The sequence below is a fragment of the Homo sapiens genome, chromosome 18, assembly GCF_000001405.40.
Source record: "Homo sapiens chromosome 18, GRCh38.p14 Primary Assembly".
In the NCBI taxonomy this organism is placed as follows: Eukaryota; Metazoa; Chordata; class Mammalia; order Primates; family Hominidae; genus Homo; species Homo sapiens.
In genome coordinates, this window is record NC_000018.10 from 48,277,332 (window position 1) to 48,300,083 (window position 22,752).

Here is a 22,752-nt window from a genome sequence, read left to right on the forward strand (position 1 = left end):
CGAAGGACATGAACAGACACTTCTCAAAAGAAGACATTTATGCAGCCAAAAAACACATGAAAAAATGCTCATCATCACTGGCCATCAGAGAAATGCAAATCAAAACCACTATGAGATACCATCTCACACCAGTCCTAAGCTTTCTCTAGGATTTTCTGTCCCAAATAAAAGTGCAAAATAAATAGCTATTTCACTTAGATTTTGAGAATTTAAACTTCACAGCTATTCTAAGGAAGGCTAGAACAACTAATACGCTGCTTAACCATGTGCAAGGTGCACATTTTATGGCTGCATCATGAAGGGCAACCCCGGCTGGTGAGGACACACCAAAATGTGGGAAACGGGCACTTGGGTTCAGCCGGCTTCACAGTCACGCTGGAGGCTCCCACAACAGAAATCACAAAACATTCCCTCGAGTGCTAAATTTGTAGACAAACATAGTGGTTTATAAGGAACAACAGAGTTCTAGGATTCATCATCTATAGCCACAAAAATACCACATGAGCTTTTTTTTTTTTAAATCGACCCCCTTCCTTTGCGCCAGATAGCAGGTAGCAGCCCCTCTCTTTGAGGATGCAAGGGGGAGGAGGGATTGGAGTGGGAGTAGGGTGAGGTAAAGAGGGACAGGCTCAGAGGTGACAATGGTGAGAAGAAAACCAGCAATGGAGGTGACGGATTATTTCCTGTGATAGACTATTTCCAAAGACAGCCACAGCAATCTCCTATCAAAAGGTGGGTTATGTTTCCCTCCCCCTGAATCTGGACTGGCCATGAGGTTTGTTCTGACCAACAGAATGTGGCACCAATGACCTTCTGGGCTTGACGTGATCTTGCAGCTTCCACTTTGCAGAGGCAGGTTCCTGCCACATGCAAAGAAATCAGGCTGTTCTGCTACAGAGAGAAGCCACAGGAGAAAGAGGCCCCAGAGAATGAGGGGCCATGCAGAGAGGACTAGGCCATGTTCAGAAGGACTGAGGTTCCCAGTCAAGAGCATCTCCAAGGCCCCAGACATGGGAGTGGCACCATCTTGGATCGTCTATCCCCAGTTGAGTAACCCAAGTAGAAGAGAGAAAAGCTGTCTCCACAGAATCCTCCCCAAATTCTTTTTTTTCTTTTTTTTTTTTGAGACAGTCTTGCCCTGTCATCCAGGCTGGAATGCAATGGTGCGATCTTGGCTCACTGCAACCTCCGCCTCCTGGGTTCAAATAATTCTCCAGCCTCCTGAGTAGCTGGGATTACAGATGCCCACCACCATGCCCAGCTAATTTTTGTATTTTTAGTAGAGACAGGGTTTCACCACATTGGCCAGGCTGGTCTCGAACTCCTGACCTCATGATCCACCTGCCTCAGCCTCCCAAAGTGCTGGGATTACAGGCATGAGCCACCGCGTCCAGCCATCCTCCTCAAATTCTGACCTATATGATCATGAGCAAATAGTTGCTTTAAGCCAGTATATTTAGGGCTGGTTTGCCACGTGGCAATAAACAACCGAAACACCGCCTAACTGCTCTCTGCTGTCAACCAGCTCCTCACAGGCTGTCCCCTCAGGGACTGCAATGGGTTTGTGTTTTGATTTTGTTTCTGGATTTTTCTGTGTTGTTTTGCTTTCTTGTTTTTTTTTTTTTTAATTCATCAATTGGAGAATCTTGCTGGAGACAGTGAAAATTAATTTGAGACAGACAAAGCCCTTAAACTGCCTGGCAGGGGAACTGGTATGCTGGGCACACTGTCACACCTTTGTCACACATACTTAGAAGGAAAAAGTCCATGGAACCAGCTCACCCCAGGGCCCAGAGGGCAGCACCATGGAGACGGTCCCCCCGGCACCCCCACTCCTCAGAACACAGACCCCTGACTGTTCTGTGAGAAAACTGCTCCTGCTCCACCATTAAAACGGAATGCCCTGACATCCAGTACTTACAGGCCTTGGTCTCTTTCCAGTCTGAAGTGACAGGCTGGCAGATCCACCAGCCTGGATGCTCCAGGTTCCCTGCCTCCCTGCAGTCATTTCGTGGTCAACATGGCAAAAAAAAGGGGAGGCAAAAGAGGCCATGCTTATTCACACAAAGCTTCAGGCAAGTCTGGCATCCCCTCACATTTGGCTTTAGGCAGATCCAGTAAGATGTGGCAGCCTTTATCACCATGAATCATGTCCAAACTCCAGTGGGGAAATATCCACCCAAACAAAATGAACACAAAGGACTGCACGGGGCCTGGGGTGGTGGTTCTGTCTTCTGATATTAGCACAGCCTGCCTTTTGCAAGGTAGGAGTCAGACAAGGGACAACCTCCCCAAAATGGCCTGCACTTGGCTGATACTAAAATGAAGGCACCCCCAGTCTTAAGCCTCAGGCAGCTCCCCCACTGAAGCCTCACTGGTGGGAGCTGCGCAAAGCAAGCTTCTTGAGCCCCAGGCTGTCCAGGCTACACATCAGCCCCACATTCACAGAAGCAGAGAGCAGGGGAAGCACTGAACCTGCCTCTGCACTGAGTTTGCCTTGACATCTTCATCTGTATGCAGGATTTAAGAGCCTTGAAGAAAGGGGATGAAGGAAATCACAACGCAGTGGATAAGAGCCAAGATGAGCAGATGCGAGTCATTCAAAAGGGGTTGGTAGGGAGAGGAAATAGGTAGGATGCAAAAGAATATTCATCATTCCACAAATTTTTATTGAGCATCTACTATGTGCCAGGCACTGTGCAAGGTGCTAGAGACAGAATGGTAAATAAGACACATTTGGTTCTTGCCCCAAGGAACTCACCCTACAATTAGAATACGGTGTGGTCAGTGCTGTAGGCAGGAGCACAGCCAAGGAGCATGTATTGGAGGGTGCTGAGTGGAGCCAGCTTGTCAGAGAAGGAGGAGTGGGCAGGAAAGGTACCATGGAGGCTGGAGAAAGTGGGAGCACACTGCAGCCTGAGGGTTTCACCGACTCCCGAGACTTCACCCATAACTGAGGGCACTCCTCGACCCCTCCCTGGACTCCCAAGTTCTTATGTCAGGGCCACTGCATCCATCATTCATTGGATTTGGGCTCCATTCCCATTGGTGTTTCTAAAAACATTGCTTCCCTGAAGGCACTAACCTGCTCAAAAGCCTTCAATGGCAATCCACCACTAACAGAATAAACTCCCCAACATCCTGGCCTGGCTTCTCAAGCCCTACACAATCTGCCCCAACCCGTATCAACACACCCAGAACAAAAGGTGCCCACAGAGGAACCCCTAAATCCCTGCTCACAGTCATCTGCACAACCCTGTGACTAGCCACACCCCCAACTCTGACCATATTTGAGAATGTCTCCATCTCTAGACATAAATCCTAGACACAAGGGTCTATATATTCTCATGGTTACACACCTACGGAGCCAGAGTCCCCAGCAAGGCATGACTTGAGAAATCTAGGGAAAGGACCCAGGTCCCAACTAACACTCAGTAGCCAACTGGTCCAAAATCCTCGACTAGCTATTATTCCTTGATTTAAGCACCAGCTTTCCTAGGTAATTTTTTTCTCTCTCTTTTTTTTTTTTTTTTTTTTTTTGAGACAGAGTCTTGTTCTGTCATCCAGGCTAGAGTGCAGTGGTGTGATCTTCGCTCACTGCAACCTCTGCCTCTTGGGTTCAAGTCATTCTCCTGGCTCAGCCTCCCAAGTAGCTGGAACTACAGGTGCCTGCCACCATGCCCAGCTAATTTTTGTATTTTTAATAGAGACGGGGTTTCGCCATGTTGGCCAGACTGGTCTCGAACCCCTGACCTCGGGTGATTCACCCATCTCAGCCTCCCAAAGTGCTGGGATTACAGGCGTGAGCCACCATGTCTGGCTGTAATTTTTTTTTAATTAAAATCTTTGACAAACCTGAGAAAAACAAGCAATGGGGAAAGGAGTCCCTATTTAATAAATGGTGCTGGGAAAACTGGCTAGCCATATGGAGAAAGCTGAAACTGGATCCCTTCCTTAAACCTCATACAAAAATTAATTCAAGATGGATTAAAGACTTAAACATTAGACCTAAAACCATAAAAACCCTAGAAGAAAACCTAGGCATTACCATTCAGGACATAGGCATGGGCAAGGACTTCATGTCTAAAACACCAAAAGCAATGGCAACAAAAGCCAAAATTGACAAATGGGATCTAATTCAACTAAAGAGCTTCTGCATAGCAAAAGAAACTACTATCAGAGTGAACAGGCAACCTACAAAATGGGAGAAAATTTTTGCAACCTACTCATCTGACAAAGGGCTAATATCCAGAATCTACAATGAACTCAAACAAATTTACAAGAAAACAACTAACAACCCCATCAACAAGTGGGTGAAGGATATGAACAGACACTTCTCAAAAGAAGACATTTATGCAGCCAAAAAACACATGAAAAAATGCTCACCATCACTGGCCATCAGAGAAATGCAAATCAAAACCACAAGGAGATACCATCTCACACCAGTTAGAATGGCAATCATTAAAAAGTCAGGAAACAACAGGTGCTGGAGAGGATGTGGAGAAATAGGAACACTTTTACACTGTTGGTGGGACTGTAAACTAGTTCAACCATTGTGGAAGTCAGTGTGGCGATTCCTCAGGGATCTAGAACTAGAAATAGCATTTGACCCAGCCATCCCATTACTGGGTATATACCCAAAGGACTATAAATCATGCTGCTATAAAGACACATGCACACGTATGTTTATTGCGGCATTATTCACAATAGCAAAGACTTGGAACCAACCCAAATGTCCAACAATGATAGATTGGATTAAGAAAATGTGGCACATATACACCATGGAATACTATGCAGCCATAAAAAATGATGAGTTCATGTCCTCTGTAGGGACATGGATGAAATTGGAAACCATCATTCTCAGTAAACTATCGCAAGAACAAAAAACCAAACACCGCATATTCTCACTCATAGGTGGGAATTGAACAATGAGAACACATGGACACAGGAAGGGGAACATCACACTCTGGGGCCTGTTGTGGGGTGGGGGGAGGGGGGAGGGATAGCATTAGGAGATATACCTAATGCTAAATGACGAGTTAATGGGTGCAGCAAACCAACATGGCACATGTATACATATGTAACTAACCTGCACATTGTGCACATATACCCTAAAACTTAAAGTATAATAATAAAAAAAAAATTTAGTGTTATGACCTGGCAATTCCAGTTCCAGGTATATATAGCTAACACAAATGTTTACAATAATTTACCAGGAGACAGGTACAAGAATGTAGCATTGGTTTTAATAGTCCCCACCTAGGAATTATCTAAATGCCCACCTACAATAAGATGCAGACATTGTGGTATAGTCACACAATAAAATGCAATACAAATATGAGAATGTACAAATTACAACTACACATAGCAAAATGAATGAATTCCCCAACCTAAAGTTGAGTAAAATAAGGCAGACACTGAAGGGTAATACTATGTGATTTATGTAAAGTTAATAAAGTTCAAACACAGGCAAGATTAAGCTATGATGTTAAAAGTCAGGACAATGGTTACCCTTAGGAATGTGACAATGACTGAAATGGGGCCTGAGGATGGCTTATGGGGTGCTGAGAATCTTCTATGTCATGATTTAGATGCTAGGCTCATGAGTATATTCAATGTGTGAAAATTCATTGAACAATATGCCTATGATGTGTACATTTTCTATGTAGCTAATATTTCAATAAGAAGTTTAAAAAGGGAAAAGGAAAAAACTGATGAGGGTGCAGATAAATTAATACTTTCTTACATTGGGGAATGCAAATTAGTAAAGCTTTAAGAAAGGGAATTTGGCAATATTTATCAAAACCTTAAAAAATTTCATATCCTTTGACCTAGTAATTCCAGTCCCAGAAATTTATCTTCAGGAAATAATGAGGGTGCAGTGGTACTTGTCACAGAATTATTTATAACAGGGAAAATTTGGAAATAGCCTAAATGTTGAGCAAATGTACTCCTATTGTGCAGCCACTAAATGCATTTTATAAAATGTTTAATGAGAGGATTATATGAAATTTAATTTCTTCTTTCTATTTTCTGTTTTTTTCCAAATTCCCTGCAATGAATAGACATCACTTTTACTATGAGAACAGTTATTTGGAAATAAATAAATGCAAACACCCAAGCAGAAATTAAAAACTTAACTTGGCATTCATTCAACAAACATGTACTAAAATCTTCCATTGCCAGGCAGTGGAGGTAGTAATGCACATGGCTTAGGGCCTCCTCTCAGAACCATAATTTAGACAGACATGAAGTTGAGTGTGAATTATTCCCATTGCTGATGCAATAGTACAGGCAACCAATGAGAAGTCAAAATACATGAATTTGAGTCTCAGTTCTACCAGTGAAACTTTTTCAGCACCTTGGCAAGTGAGCTCCTCTATTATCAGTTCCTTCACCTGTAAAATAAGTATAAGAGTTCTCCTGCCTACCTCACTATGATGTAGTCAGCTGCAAAGGAGACTCAGCTGAGCATGCTCTGAAGATGTATAAATATCATGATCATGTTATCACTTATATCAAGAAGAAAAGGGGGCCAGGCACAGTGGCTCACACTTGTAACCCCAGAACTTTGGGAGGCAAAGGCGGGCAGATCACCTGAGGTCAGGAGTTCAAGACCAGCCTGGGCAACATGGCAAAACCCCATCTCTACTAAAAATACAGAAATTTGCCAGGCATAGTGGTGCACGCCTATAGTCCCAGTTACTCAGGAGGCTGAGACACAAGAATCACTTGAACCCGGGAGGCAGAGGTTGCAATGAGCCGAGATTGCACCACTGCACTTCAGCCTGGGCAACAAAGAGAGACTCTGTCTCAAAAAAACAAAGGGAAGAACAAAAGGGGACTGGGCACAGTGGCTCATGCCTGTAATCCAGCACTCTGGGAGGCCAAGGCAGGAGGACTGCTGAGTTCGAGACCAGCTTGAGCAATATAGATCTTGTCTCTACAAAAATAAAAATTAGCCTGGCACGGTAGGGCATGCCTGTAATCCCAGCTACTTGGGAGGCTGAGATGGAAGGATCACTTGAGCCCAGGAGGTCAAGGCTTCAGTGAGTCATGATCATGCCATTGCACTCCAGCCTGAGTGACAGAGTGAGACCCTGTTAAGAAAGAGAGAGGGAAAGGGAGGGAGGGAGGGGCACATAAATATGTACTCAAGTTCTGTTAAGAAACATCATCCGGCTGGGCGTGGTGGCTTATACCCGTAATCCCAGCACTTTGGGAGGCTGAGGTGGGTGGATTACTTGAGGACAGGTGCTTGAGACCAAGCTGGCCAACATAGCGGAACCGTGTCTCTACTAAAAATACAAAAAGCTGGGTATGGTGTTACACACCTGTAATCCCAACTACTCAGGAGGCTGAGGCACGAGAATTGCTTGAACCCAGGAGGCAGAGGTTGCAGTGAGCCAAGATCGTACCACAGCACTCCAGCCTAGGAAACAGAGTGAGACTCGGTCTCCAAAAAAAAAAAAAAAAAAAACAGAGAGAGAGAGAGAGAAGAAAGAAACATCATCCCCAGCCTCCTTTGGTTTTATAGTTATCTCACCCTCTCCTGAGCCTTGCTCTTGTCCAGCATGGATAAGACTGCCTTTATCTTATAAGACTGGACTAATGCGTAAAGGCAGAGGAAGTTCTTTTTATCATTGAATTCTAGTTGCATGATGGTAGAGAATGTGGGCTGCATGATGTTGATTATTTGACACTTGCTGAGACTTCTTTAATGGTATTGTTCATTGTTAGTTTCTATAAATGTATGCCACAGAAGAAGGTGTAGTTTCCATTTGCAGGGTGCAGGGTAATATATAGATCCATTGGCTCATGCTTGTTACTTGTATTGTTTGAACCTTTTATAGTCTTACTAGTTTGTATCTCCTTGACCTGTCTGTTTACAAAAGGTATGTTTAAAATCTCTTACAGTAATTGTAGATTTGTCTTTTGTGCCTTTCAATTCTTTCAATTTCTGCTTCCCTTATTTTGAGGCTATGTTGTTAGGCACATAAAGATTCATGATTATTATATGTCCTAGCAGACTGTACCTTTTATCACTAAGCAATGATCCTGTTTATTTATATTTTTCTCCTTACATTCTACATTGTTAATAGTATTGCAAGACCAGCTTTGTTTTGGTATCTGTATAACATATTCTCTTCCAACCCTTGGCTTTCATCTCTTTCTTCTTTATTTTATTTAGCAATTTTTTTGTAGAGATGAGGTCTCCCTATGTTGATCAGGCTAGTCTTGAGCTCTTGGGCTCAAGCAATCCTCCTGCCTCGTCCTCTCAAAGTGCTGGGATTACAGGCATGAGCCATTATGCCAAGCCAGCTTTCATCTTTTTCTGTCATTAAATTGTGTATGTGATTCTTACAAACGGCATATACCTGGATCTTGTGCCCTAAAACATTTTTTTTCAACAAAAGTTTCTGCCTTTAATGGAGAGTTTTATCTGTTTTGGTTATGACATCAGCTTGGGGTTCCATTTTTTCAAGGGCAATTTTTTTTATTTTTGTTTTTGTTTGTTTGTTGCTCCTGGTCCTTGGAAGATGGTGCTTCCTTGTGAATTCTCTGGGCTGATGACTAGAGTGTCTATGGTTCTCATTTTATAGAAGAATGTGCCCTGCATGACTCCTAGAATAATGCCATTGGCTTCCCAAACACAGGAAACCCACACATGAGCTCCCTTCCCCTTGAGGGATTTAGAACCTCAGACTACATTCATTTTTTCAGGTCCCCATACATGTGAGGCCTTTGGCCTAAGCTCCCACTATGCTCAGACTTTTAGTCCCTCTTCTTTTCAGGCAACTGACAATATCCTTCTCTTGGTTTGAAGCCCAGCCTCAAAATATCATTTTATCAGGGTATAATTGTTGTTATCCTAGTCATCTTTGTCAGAGAAGAGGTGTGCGTGTGTGTGTGTGTGTGTGTGTGTGTGTGTGTGTATTAGTTCTTTGTCAGCTGGAATCATCATGGTAACTAGAAATAAAACAATGGGATAAAAATAGAAAATATTTTGAAAGTACAGAAATAATTGATAACTCAGAAAAATCATCTTTTAAGAATGAGAGTAAAGGAAAACATCATCACATCAATTGAAAGTGAGAGACAGCACCACTCATAAGGATATCAATGAAAGTATTTCTAAAATATGGACAGATTACTACTTGATGCAATATTTAACTCACCAGGAAAATATATTAATATAATAATTCTAAATATGTTCATAATAAAATAGCCTCAAAATATGTTAAGAAAAAGTTGATAAAAATACAAAGAGAAATGGGCCAACACAGTATTAGGGTGGAAAATTTAGAAACTCTTGTCAAACAGATACAATAAGCAAGGATATGTTTTAAATTTTGGGCTTTGAATAACTAGTGTGTTTAACACCAGCCTTGCACCTCAAATTAGATAACAGAACAAGTTTTAAAACTGACCAGAAGAGGCCAGGCACGGTGGCTCATGCCTGTAATCCCAGTACTTTGGGAGGCTAAGGCAGGGGGATCACTTGAGCTCAGGAGTTTGAGACCAGCCTGGGCAACACGGCAAACCCCCCTCTTGACAAAAAATACAAAAATTAGCTGGGCATGGTGGCGCACACCTGTAGTCCAAACTACTCAGGAGGCTGAGGTAGGAGATTGCTTGAGCCCAGAAGGCAAAGGTTGCAGGAAAAACAAACAAACAAACAAACAAAAACAAAAAAAACTGACCAGAAGATATAGAGCAGTTTCGGATAACTCCAAAGAGTAAAACAGTCCATGTTCTCTGATCTTAGTGTAATTAAATTTGAAATCAGTAACAAACGGTAACTAAGAAAACAAAGAGAAACAAGTTATATTTGTAAAATTAAAAACACCAATCAGAGACAAAAATCATAATAGATGTTTACAAATACTTAGTACTGAATGATAATGAAAATAATTTCTATCAAACTTCATGCCAAAATATTTTTATATGCTTTATTAACTTTATGCCAATTTGTTAGAAAACTTAAATAAAATGGACAAATTCCTGGAAGAATATAATTTGTAAAAGTGAACTCTAAGACAAATAGAAAATCTGAAGAGTCTTCCAATCATTAAATACACTGAATCAGTAATTTAAAAATCATTTCACAGTGAAAACAAGAGGCCCAAATGGTTTCACAGGAAAGTTCTATCAGACATGGAATGAGTAAACCATTTTATCTTATATATAATCTTCCTAGAGCATAAAAAATGAAAGACTACTTTGTAACCCATTTTGTAAGGTGAATAAAGACTTCAAGCCAGTGAAGTCTCAAGAAGGAAAATTACAGGCCAATCTCATTCATGAATAAAGATGCAAAAATGGCTGATAAATAATTGATAAACCAAATACAAAAATATATTTAAAATATATACCATTATCAGGTTGAATTTTTCTATGGAATTGGAAAAAAATGGCTTAACATTAGAAAATCTGCCAGTGCAATTCACCACCATAAAGAATTAAAAGAGACTAATCATATAGTCATCTTATAAGAGGGTAAGGGAGACACCTGATAAAATGTGTAACTGTTATTCCTGATTAAGCTCCTAGCAAACTAAGAACTGAATGGAACTTCCCTGACTTGATAAGGCCATCTACTACTGCAGCTACTATGAAACTTAACAGTGATGCACTGGAAGCATTCTCTTTAACATCAGGAACAGCACAAGGCTGTCCACCATCTCTGCTACTCTACTCTGTAATGGATATCCTTAGCCAGTACATTAAGGCAAAAAGAAATAAAGAACATAAAAATTGGAAAGGAAGAAATGAAACTGACATTATTTGAATTTGATATAATCTACAAAGATCTAAAAGAATGTATAGCAATGTGTTAGAATTTATAAGAATACAAAGATTGCTAGTTATAATATTACAGTGGACTGAATGTTTATGTCCCTTCACAATTCATCTGGTGAAATCCTAGCCCCCAAGGTAATTGTGTAAGAAGGTGGGGACTTTGGGAAGTGATTAGGTCATGGAGGCACAACCTTCATGAATGAGATGAATTCCCTTATTAAACTGCTCAGAGGGCTGGGCACCGTGGCTCACGCCTGTAATCCCCCACTTTGGGAGGCCAAACCGGGTGGATCACCTGAGGCCAGGAGTTCGGGACCAGCCTGGCCAACATGGTGAAATACCATCTCTACTAAAAGTACAAAAAAAAAAAAAAAAGCTGGGCATGGTTGTGGACACTTGTAATCCCAGCTACTTGGGAGGCTGAGGCAGGAGAATTGCTTGAACCTGGGAGGTGGAGGTTGCAGTGAGCCGAGATCACACCATTACACTCCAGCCTAGGCAACAAGAGTGAAACTCCGTCTCTAAATAAATAAATGTAAATTAAAAAACAGAAGAGGCCAGAGGGGATTTAGTGGCTTCTTCCACTCTGTGAGGACAAAGTGAGAAGGAGCTGTCTCTGAACCAGAAAGCCCTCACCAGACATCGAATCTGCTGGTACCTTGATCTTAAACTTCCCAGCCTCCAGAAGTGTGAGAAATAAATTTTTATTGTTTATAAACTACCTAGTTTATGGTACTTTGTTACAGCAGCCTGAATAGACTAAGACAAAGATCAGTATAAAAACCAATTATATTATTATACACCTGCAAAAACCCTAATAAAATACTTTCAAAAATAGATATTTAGAACTAGAAGAATATACATTTATTGAACTCAAAAAGTAAAAATTGTTGACTGAACTTCAGTGACCAATCAGGGAAATGCAAGGCTATGCACAACGCGAAACCACTTCCCATCGCCAGACAGGATCGGGCATTGATTGGCTAAATGGGACTGCTCACACACTCCTTCCAGGAGTGTAAATGAGCTTTTTAAATCTTTGGAGAGTAATTGGACAATATCAAACTAAATAATAATAATAATAGCATGTTTTCTAAGACCTAGCAAATTCACTTTTAGGCATGTTATTCACATCTAGTCTCTCACACTTATGCTCCAGGAGACAAGTTCAAAGACATTAATCTCAGAGTTGTAACACAAAAGAATCAGACACAATCTAAATGCCCATCAGCAAGAGAATGGTTGGATGATCTGTGGAATATTATGTAGCAATGAAAAATAATGAGACAGATCTATATGTACTGACATGGAAAGGAATTAGGTTAAGCAAAGAAAACCAAACATCTACGAAAAATAAACACGGTATGATTTTTTTAACACCACAAAACATAATTGTGTATTTACATATATATTCATTCAATATATATTTATTATAATATATTTATTATGTATTGAATGAATATATATGTAAATACACAATTATGTATTTATTATTATGTGCCAGGCATGCTTAAGTGCTGGGGATACAACAGGGGTCAAAAGATAAAAATAATTTGTACCCCCATGGATTTTACAATCTAGGGCACATACAACCACACACAGACATGGACCTTTGGGTCCTATATGCGCCCAGGTACATGTCTGAGCATAGAAAAGTCCTAGAAGGTGATGGTTCCATGGTGTAACGGTTAGCACTCTGCACTCTGAAAAGTCCTAGAAGGGTGCATGTTAGTCATGATAGCAGTTACCATCCGAGACAGATACAACGTGGATTCTCACACAATGAAATACAATATAGCAGTGAAAATAAACGAATTTGATATCTATGTAGCAATATGGATAGGTGCTTTAAGTGCTTTGGTCCCCAGTCTTGCTAAGGCTCAGTTTCCACACTTGTTAAAATGGAGATTACAGTAGTTATGCTAGCACCTTCTTTATAGGGTTCTTGTGTACTTTCAAAGAGATAATTAATTCAGAGCATTTAGCACCTCGTACACGCTCAATAAATGATAGCTACTGATATTTTTTACAAAGGGAAGGAAGGAGACTTAAAGCACCCACAGGACCATGGATGGCTCCTGTTACTCCAGGCCATGCCTGTAGCTTCTGGCTGGGGCTGTTAGGTCCAGCCAGGACTCCAAGGTCCAAAAGCCAAAGTGCCCCAGCCTCAGTCCCACCTCCTTCTCAGTCCCAGTCCCAGCCGTACTAGAAGGGCTCCCTTTCAGGGCCGCCAAAGCTACTGAGGGGTAGCAGGACTCTGTGCGGGGAGAGGGTGGGCAATGGCTTCTGTAAGGTGAAGAGGTTTGCAGCCTTCCAGTCAGGTAGCTGCAGTGCCAGGGGCAGGCGTGCCCTGCTCTTTGATTCGCTTGCTGCAGGGTAGACCCTAATTATCCTGGGGAGCTAAGCAGAACTGCTCCCCTGTGGTGTTTTTGAGGGTCATTAAGAGTGTGGGGGTTGGGGACAGACTGTGCTTCCTTCCCTGGGCAGACAACAGGATCTATTGTTGGAGTTGGACCATTAGTCAGCTCTGTGCCGCAGGCGCCCGTCCCCTGGGCCTGCATCCTCTTCCTGGCAAGGCCTCGCCATCTCACTTTGGGAAGATTTGGCTGCCCAGACACCCTCCCACTATGCTTAGGTGGCTGTAGCCAGGACAGCCCGCGGAAAGCCACCCCTCCTGCCACCTCCCTAGTCCAAGAGTGCCCTCCTCCTCTTCCACATAGGTGTTATGTGCTGCGGAGACAGTGAACGAAAGTCAAAATTCCTGGCCCCAAGCCAATATATGAAGTAGTAATCTCTTGCTAGGATTTGTGGAAAGAACATTCTCTAGGCTCTATAAAATGAGAGGCTCCTCAAGTCATATTTAAAAGTTTGGAAAGTGAAAAGAGTTGGGTGCCTGGTATCATCACCCTAGCCCCAACTCCATCTTAGGTACCACAGAACCTTCTGCTTTGGGGACATCATCCTTCAAATGCACTGGCATCTTGGTAAGAATGCACCACCACTATAAGTAGAGGGCTGGCTGAAGAGCATCTCACTTGTGAGCAGCTTCTCAGCAGCCTTTAGCCATGAAGCAGCCAAACATTTATGGCAATGGGCTTCCCATCCCAGGCCTCTCATCTTGAGTTTGTGGTTCCACAAACTCAGGGAGGGTGGTGGTGAGGGGGGATGTTTGAGAACTACCTCTGGGGATATAAAAGGAATGACAGCCGAATCTTCCTCTACCTAGCTGGCCTGGATTCAACAAAGCAGCAACAAAAACTATTCCATAAAGGTGTTTCCTCCCTTGGGGGATTAAAATCCAAGGGAAACTCCAAGGTGGTAAGGTGGCAACAGCAAAGGAGCAAAGCAGCAAAGGAGAAACCTACCTGAGAGCCACGCTCTTGAAACCCACAGGGAGCCCAGGCCTGCGTATCCACCGGGACAGGCAGCCCAGGACTCGGTTGTTATGAAAACCATCTTAGTGTTGATGTGGCACTGCGAATTTGGAAAGTGCTTTAAAATCATTCATATTCCTAGACCTGTAATTAATCAAAAGATTGCACCAATCTATAGCCACAGCCATTATGGTCACTGCAGTCATTTTCCAGTGCTCTTGACCAAAGAGTGCTGTCACCATGGTGATGGTGGCAGGGGTTGGGTGGGAAGTGAACACAGCAGTTAGGGGGATTGGCCAAGCTTTCTGGAGTTTGGAGGCAGGGCTAACTCATAACATGTAGAACACCAGATCTCTGCTAGGAGAGACTCCAATAGGGGACTCAGCCTCTTAAAAATTGCTACCATTAGCCGGGCGTGGTGGCTCACACCTGTAATCTCAGCACTTTGGGAGGCTGAGGCAGGCAGATCACCTGAGGTCAGGAGTTTGAGGCCAGCCTGGCCAACATGGTGAAACCCCGTCTTTACTATAAATACAAATATTAGCTGGGCGTGGTGGTGGGTGCCTGTAATTCCTGCTACTTGGGAGGCTGAGGCAGGAGAATCACTTGAACCTGGGAGGCGGAGGTTGCAGTGAGCTGAGATGGCGCCACTGCACTCCAGCCTGGGTGACAGAGGGAGACTCCATCTCAAAAAAAAAAAATTGCTACGATCTGTTAAGTACTTACATCTTGGCACTGTACATACATTATCAAGAATGTCCATAATTCCTCGTTAAAGCAAGTGCTATCATTCCATTCCATTCTACAGTGGGCACAACTGAGGAACCAAGAAGTTAAGCCACTTCCCCAAAGTCCTACCACTACTAAGGATAGAGTGAGGTTCGAGCTTAGGCCTGTGTGACTCCAGAGCTTTTCACTATGACTCATGGCCTCTCTGACCTCCAAGGTGTCCAGACCCACTAAAGCACTGGACCACTAACTCCCTCCTCCTGCGCCTGTCCCTGGAGAGGCCAGAAGCAGCAGCTGGCAAGAGAGAAGGACAGGGGCAAGCAGAGAGAAGAGATGCTGTCTATGCCTCATGCTCGTCTGCTGCAGGTAGCCAACCTGGGCAGGGACCTGGGGTGGAGAAGGAGGCAGAAACTGAAAACTGGATGAAAGACTGAGGATCAAGCTTTAAACTGGGCTAGACTTTCAATACCTAAAAACAAAGCCATTCCTCAATACCTGGGTATGACAAGAAAAGCTAGATTTGATTCAGGAGCTGGAAAGGAGTCCATGGAGTGGTATGGAAAACAGCAAGGTGAGAAAAAGAAAGCTCCTTCATGCTCTCACCCATTGAGCCCAGCTCCCAGCATAAAGCATTGAAATCTACTACTATTACTGCTGCTGCTATTCATTGAGCCCTCACTCGGTGGCAAGCACTGTGGTGACACCCCCACCCCTGCCATGGTCAGCTTTGCTTATCTCTCACTCCCTTAGAATATCAGCTCCTTGAGACAGGAACTGTGTCTCACTCAGCATTACAGCTTCTGCATTGGCACAATGTCCGGCCCACCAGAAATACTCAACAAACATTTGATAAACAAGTGCTCTAAACCACTGTCTTAGTCCGTGTGGGCTGCCATAACAAAAATACCATAGACTGGGTGGCTTCAAAACTAGAAATGTATTGCTCCCAGTTCTGAAGGCTGGGAAGCCCAGGATCAAGCTGCTGGCTGATTTCCGTTACTGCTCATGTCCTCACTTGGCCTTCCTCACTGCATGCACACAAAGAGATGTCTCCAGTCTGTTCCTCTTTTTACAAGAACATTCATGAGCACCCTACCCTAATGACCTCATCTGACTCTATTCACCTCTCAAATGCTCCATCCCCAAATATCATCACATTAGGAATTAGGGTTTCAACATAGGAATTTTGAGGGGACATAAACGTTTAAACATTCAGGCCACGGCACCCATAAATCATCGTCTGGCACTTAGTATTGTTTGCAGCATCTCCCACCCAATTCCCTTCTCTTTTTGACACAATTTAAATCTGGGGGAGATACTAATAAACTTCAAAATGGCTCCCCAAATAGGCGCGATGGTAATTAGAATAAAAGCAGTCCAAAGACTGAACAGACCAAGTATAAATCATCAAAGAAGAAGAGTGTAGAACTGGACCAAAAATGGGGGTAAGAGAATCCTCTCCCCTCATCCCTATGAGGCACAGGCTTAAACTCTAGTAGTCTCAGTCACTTCGGTCCAGAACATTAGCACACTTTTCAACCTTTAAGAAAAAAAAATATAAATAAAGACAGGGTCTTGCTATATTGGCCAGGCTGGTCTCAAATTCCTGGCCTCAAGCAATCCTCCAGCCTAAGCCTCTCAAAGTGCTGGTATTACCAGCATGAGCCACGATGCCCAGCCTTTCAACCTTTTGTTTAAACTTCACCTAGAACAATGAAATGAACAAGCTGGAGATCAGGCCCGCTGTGGCCGTGTTTCTTGGGTGAGGTGCTGGAGCTTGGGCCTGGGCCTGCTATGGCCACCGTGGGAGTCATTAGCACGAATGCGGTGTTTACCTCCCTGGGGAAGGGCAAGCAAGCTGCTGGCGTGGTTCAGCATGCACCTTCCCCTGGGAGCCCGGAGAGCACATTAGCAGAGGCTTGGAGAGGGGACTAGGCAATCAGCAGGTGCGTGTGCACATGCCAGCCTGGAATTTGAAATTAATCACCTGCGGAAGGCACAATGGGCAGATGGGAGGGAGTTGTGGGAAAGGCGTTGAACCAGCAGCCGAAGCAGCTACTAAATTTAGCCTGGTCCCCAAAGCAGGGCTTAATTAAATTAATCCTGCACACCCCCACCCCCACTCCCAGGCCCCGTTCCTAGGTGAGTTTTTTTCTGTTTCTAGCTTGGCTCCCATTATAACACAAGCCTCCAAATGTTGATCCCCTTGACAGGTGCCCCAGGCCAGCTCCTCTGGTGCCAGTGCTGGGAAGGAAGTGCAATTCCCAGCTGTCCCTGCCGCTCCTACAATGCTGGGTGCAGCCCAGAGCGAGGCCATTTGTGAGGATTTGCCAGGCTCTCTAGCAGCTGAGATGGACCTGGCGCTCAGCTGCCCTCCACCCACACGGTAAGGTCCCCACATCAGGGCATGCCTGCTGTTGACCTGCCCCCCACCCCTCCCTTCCTGGTCACTGCTTGTCCCCACACAGAGGGCTTCACCCCTCCCCCAACACCAGCAGGACAGTTATTCCAGCTGATCTCATGCAGCCCCAGGGCTGTGGCAGGGAAGGCTATCTTGGCTCCATGAGTCAGCTAAGTGAGTTATTAGTTCCCAAAATTTTAATCTGTACCTTCCCTGAATCTGCTGCCCTGCCACTTGGCCTCCTCTTTTTCATTTATACAACTTCAGCAACTGAATAGGAATTAGGAACCGTGAGCTCTGATTTCTGCCTACTGCAAGCTGGCTGCAGTACACTGGAGAGAATATTTCCCTGCTTGGGGCATCCTGCTTCTGCTTGAAAAATAGGAGGTGAGAGGGCACACACCAGGCCTGGGCATGAAAGTCAGTGCCACTCAGGAAGCTTTCTGACTGCACTTGCCTGTCTCTTTCCCCTCCACAGGGGAGAAGCCCAGGCCTCAATTTCTGTACACATCAGCATTGCCTGCAAGTAACGTCTTGTTAAACACAGAGCACCCAGCCATGCCCCGGAGTCTTCGGTAGGTCCAGGGTGGGCCTGGGAATATGCATTCTGATGAGTCCCCAGGTAAAGCTGCTGTGGCCCAGGGGCCACATTTCAGAACTGAGGCTCCAGATATCTCTAACACCATTCCGTGGGGCTTGCACAGATGATGTTTCTAGCTTACTCAGCATGATTTTGTGGAGGTGGAGGTAGCAGTCCCTGGTGGCCTCTTCGTGGGGTGCTCCTTCCAGAATGTTTCCTCTGCGTCATGTGAGGAAGGCGGGATCCAGTGGCGTTGGGCGCTAGAAGCCTCTCCCTTCCCCGGCAGACCCAGAACGCCTGGCCTTCTAGGACCCAAGCCCAAGAGGACTCAGGCTAAGATTGTTTTTAGCTGAGGAAGTCAGGCACAATTGACCCACCCGCTGCCACACACAAGCAACTCTTGGTGGTCAAATTCAATTCAACAAAACTTTACAAAGCTCATTTTACTGGCCTGGCTCACTTTGGGGCTGAAATGGTTTCAGAGGCCTAGAGCAGCCTGGAATTCACAAGGAGCTGAAACTCTAGGTGGCAGGCCTGAGCCAACGCAGCTGAAAGAGCCCCTCACTGTCCGCATTGGCTTCTCCTCCTCCCTCAGCCCAGCAGCAGCAGGAGGGGGGCAGTCGCAGGCGAGTGGGGAAGAGATAGGGGTCAGGTGGGGGACCCATCCCAAAGACACAAAGACATATCTTCCAAGTATCTGAACAATCCTAGGACGGAGTTTTGCATTGGCCCAATTAGAGACTGGCTAGGATCCCGGGCTCGGTCATCTCCATAGCATAAATCCCTCCCTTCCACTGGTACCTCACAGTCAGTGTCCAACAGGGGAGCTACCTCCAAGCCAGAGAGTTCCCTCCTGGGGCTGCACCTCCCCCTGAAGATGGCCCGTGGCCTGGGCCTCACCAACCACCTGCCATGCCCATGCGCCTTGGTCTCAGCACCTGCCCAACCTCTCACCACCCCCCACCACCTGCTCAGGCCCCCTGGATGGCTGCCAGGCAGGCCTGGGCTGCTCCCCATGCAGGATGGGGAGGGGGCATCCCATGGAACCCTGTGCCAGGCAGGGTGGCAGCCTCCTCCTCTAGGCTCCCTTTCTGTGCCCTCAGAAATCTGCTCTCAGAAAGGGCTCCTCACTCGGGAGCCTCTAGTGGTCCCCGCTAACCCTCACCACCAAGCCTAAGGCTGAGTCCTAGCATTTCAAGAGGCTCTTCTCTCCTCATCTCCTTTTTTATTTTCCTTTAAGATGTCTCCTTTTGTTTTCCTCTCCCATCTCTATTTGTCTTTTCTGAAGTCTTGGAAACTAATTACATTATTTTTAAAAATTAGGTAATACAGGCACACGATGGAGCATCCCAAAAACCTTCAAGGCCACATAGTGAAAAGAAGCTCCTCTCCCACAGCACGTTCCCGAGTCTCGGGTGCTCTCCCAATGCCGTGTCCTATGACACACATGTCCTATGAGTCTGTCTAGAGCAGGGGTCCCCAGTCCCCGGGGCCACAGTCTGGTAGTGGCGGGTGGCCTGTTAGGTACCAGGCCACACAGCAGGAGGTGAGCGGCGGGTGGAGCCAGCATTACTGCCTGAGTTCCACCTCCTTTCAGATCAGCAGAGCCATGAGAGTCTCACAGGAGCGCGAACTCTATTGTGAACCATGCATGTGAGCAGATGGCTTGAGTCCAGGAGTTCAAGACCAGCGTGGGCAACATGGCCAAACCCCGTCTCTACTAAAAGCACAAAAATTAGCCGGGTATGGTGACACACACCTGTAGTCCCAGCTGAGAATCTAACTAATGCCTGTTGATCTGAGGTGGAACAGTTTCCCCCACCCCACCCCGTCTGTGGAAAATTTGTCTTCCACGAAACCAGTCCCTGGTGCCAAAAAGGTTAGGGGCTGCTGGTCTAGAGACACGCAGCACATATGCCCGCATGTTCTAGAGTGCTCTCTCTCCTACACAAAGAGTGGCTTACTACCCAAGATGCCCTGGACCTTGGATTTATTTTTTATTTTACATTGTTGTTTAATTACAAAATATTTCAAAAGTATTGACATATGGTGACTTACATAACAAACATCCTTTAACCCCACCCAGCATCGTCATATCTTAGTAGTATGCTGTGTTTGCCTTTGGATTTTGTTTGTATAGACTCTTATAGACACGGTAGAAGTCCCTGAGGGCCCGTTTCTGGTCCCACTCCCCACTGCCCTTCCCTGGAGAGAGGCTCTGTCATGCATCGGCTGTTCATTGCCTCTGACTTTTCTACTTGTCCCTCTCTCTCCCCCATTCTACTTCCACCCAAAGGGAAGCAGTGCTGGGTGGGATGTGCTGCCATGTTCGTCTGGAACATGGCAGCAATCACAGCCATTTCCCTGTTACCCTAACAAATTAGGTGCTATTAGAGCAGGGCTTGGCAGCGCTGCAGTGCCGGGCAACTGCAGAACGTCTTAAACCTCACAGACTCCCAAATGGCATTGTCCCCTTCAGTCAGAAGTGCCATACATCACGGTTAAAAATCAATGCCTGCTAATGTCCCTGCAGGAAGGCAGAAACATGAACTTCATGAAGTCTCCTTCTGTTTACACGCTCATTAAGAGGATAAAATGTTACTTGGGTTGGGTCAGGCTTTTTGCTGCCTCTGAGGTGGTCCTGTATGAAAATGTGTGCCTTCATTTGGGTATGGCCTGTGTCACACATTATATGCCTATGGTAGTTATGAAATGCAAACTCCACCTCTTGTCTGTGCAGTCACTGAGTGTCCTAATATCAAAGTAAAACTGTGAGTTGAGGCCGGGCGCAGTGGCTCACGCCTGTAATCCCAGCATTTTGGGAGGCTGAGGCAGGTGGATCACAAGGTCAGGAGTTTGAGACCAGCCTGGCCAGCATGGTGAAACCCCATCGCTACTAAAAATACAAAAAATTAGCCAGACATGGTGACACATGCTTGTAGTCCCAGCTACTCGGAAGGCTGCGGCAGGAGAATTACTTGAACCCTGCAAGTGGAGGTTGCAGTGAGCCAAGATCGAGCCACTGCACTCTAGCCTGGGCAATGGAGCGAGACTCTGTCTCAAAAAAAAAAAAAAAAAAGTGTGAGTTGATGGCTGCCTTACTTGTCCTCCTGGGGACAGACCTGCCCCCTGTCCTTCCCTTTGAGGGCACAGGCCTTTTCTGATCAGGGAAGATGACAGTGGGCACTCATGGAGTGGGCTGGGCTCTGGAGGCCATCTAGTGCTATACCTGGCTGTTTAAGGCTGCCCCATCTTGACGCCCACCTCCACATAGGGACACATCCAGCCATGCTTCTTGGCACTCTACCCAGCTGCTCTGTCCCCACAGTTTCCCCTCCCTGTTGATGGCCCAGACCAATGCCACATCCTTACCACTCATGCACTTTGGTGATAGTCCCAGCCCCACATTCAACATTTCCAACCAAGGCAACTGAGACAGGAGCCCAGGGGCCAGTGGCTCAGGGTGCCCAGCAGGCTGACCCACCGGAGCCCTCTGGGGTATAGTCTCCCTCAGCAGGGTAGGCCAGTGTCTGGCCCTGCTCTGGCCCCTTTCTCTGCTTGTAACCTAGTTCGCAGTCTCCTCTGGGCTCTGCAGATCCATCCTGGAGCACTTGGGTTCTCATCAGAAGCTATCTATGGAATGAAGAACAGCAGAGCACAGCAGTGATCCAGGGCATGTGTGCATCACATCTTTCTTTGTCACCTGTCCAGGGAGTTCAGAATTAGGCAGTGGTCAGCTGCACAGAAGCCTTCCAGGCCCTCCTACGTAGCCTCACCATATTCTCCTCTAAGGCACAGACACAAGCGCCCAGTCCTGTCCTACCTCAAAGAGGCACCCACAGAGGTCCCAACCCTGATGGGGTGGAAGCTAGGGGCCCAGGGCAGCATCAGGAGCAGAAAATAGTGAAATGGGAGGGCATCACTTGGTAACAGGAATCAGAGGGAGAGGCCTGGAGGAGAGGGAAAGGTACTCTTGGGTCTGGGAGCTATGACTCTTTCCACACATTTAATGCTCAACACTCATGCAGGGAAAAAAACTTATCCCCATAATTACTGGGCAAGAGGGCCATGCTGTCCTCACACCCATGACATCCTTGCAGCTCCCTCTCCTGCCTCCAGAACCATCATGACATTCTGTGGATTCTTCATACTTTAGAAGGCATCTGTTTCTCCATTTGATCACAACATCCACCGAAGGGAGAACAGAAAAGGTATATTCTTAGCCTCTTCTTGCATAAACATGAGGAAAATGAGGGGAAGTAACAAAGGAAGTGAAGAGAGAAACTGAACTTTGCAGTTGGATCTTCTCATAACTCAACCTGGTTCTTGCCCCCACCTCACCTGGGCCAAGGCATGGGAGACACAGGGAGTCGTGGATGGGAGATGAGAGTGGCAAAGGATGCAGACTGGACAAAAACCAGTTCCCAGAGGCCAGTCCAGCTGTGGGTGAGTAGGAAACAGCCAGGGGAAAGGGAGGATGAAGAGGCTGAAGGAGGATGGGAATATGCCAGGCAGAGCGCAGCATGTGCAAAGGCCCTGTGGGGAGAGAGAGTTCACGGAAGTGAAGTGAAAATGGCTCATGAGTAGATGTGACATCTATTTTCCTGCAAGTTAATATCATCTGACATTGGATACAATTTTTTATGCCACATTTATCCCCAAAATGGATTTGTGGTTGCTTATGAAAAACAGATAGTATAAGCTAAGGGAATCCTCAAAGACCACTTACAGGGCAAAAGCAGAGCTCCCCAAATGACAAATGGCATAGGAATCCCCTGGGGCCTTGTTAGTATGCACACTTTAGTTGGGAGGTCTGGGGTGAAGCCTAAGATTCTGCATTTCTGCTGTTACTGCATTGAGAACCA

At 45.5% G+C, this 22,752-nt stretch overlaps 1 protein-coding gene across 15 annotated transcripts in view, besides 3 other annotated features; it reads right to left on the bottom strand.

The window, feature by feature from the left end:
• The window catches only part of ZBTB7C (zinc finger and BTB domain containing 7C), a 385,914-nt gene that overhangs the window by 250,660 nt on the left and 112,502 nt on the right, over positions 1-22,752 (bottom strand). The gene's annotated exons all lie outside the window — the stretch shown is intronic.
• Positions 16,211-16,994: an enhancer, noted in NCBI's record as "H3K4me1 hESC enhancer chr18:45819913-45820696 (GRCh37/hg19 assembly coordinates)". NCBI's record gives its function as "activates a minimal SCP1, AML or CMV promoter by ChIP-STARR-seq in naive H9 embryonic stem cells {active_cell/tissue: H9 hESC(naive)}" and the evidence as "EXISTENCE:reporter gene assay evidence [ECO:0000049][PMID:30033119]".
• Positions 17,247-17,541: an enhancer, noted in NCBI's record as "tiled region #937; K562 Activating non-DNase unmatched - State 7:EnhWF". NCBI's record gives its function as "activates a minimal TATA promoter and a strong SV40 promoter by Sharpr-MPRA in K562 cells {active_cell/tissue: K562}" and the evidence as "EXISTENCE:reporter gene assay evidence [ECO:0000049][PMID:27701403]".
• Positions 18,561-19,342: an enhancer, noted in NCBI's record as "H3K4me1 hESC enhancer chr18:45822263-45823044 (GRCh37/hg19 assembly coordinates)". NCBI's record gives its function as "activates a minimal SCP1, AML or CMV promoter by ChIP-STARR-seq in primed H9 embryonic stem cells {active_cell/tissue: H9 hESC(primed)}" and the evidence as "EXISTENCE:reporter gene assay evidence [ECO:0000049][PMID:30033119]".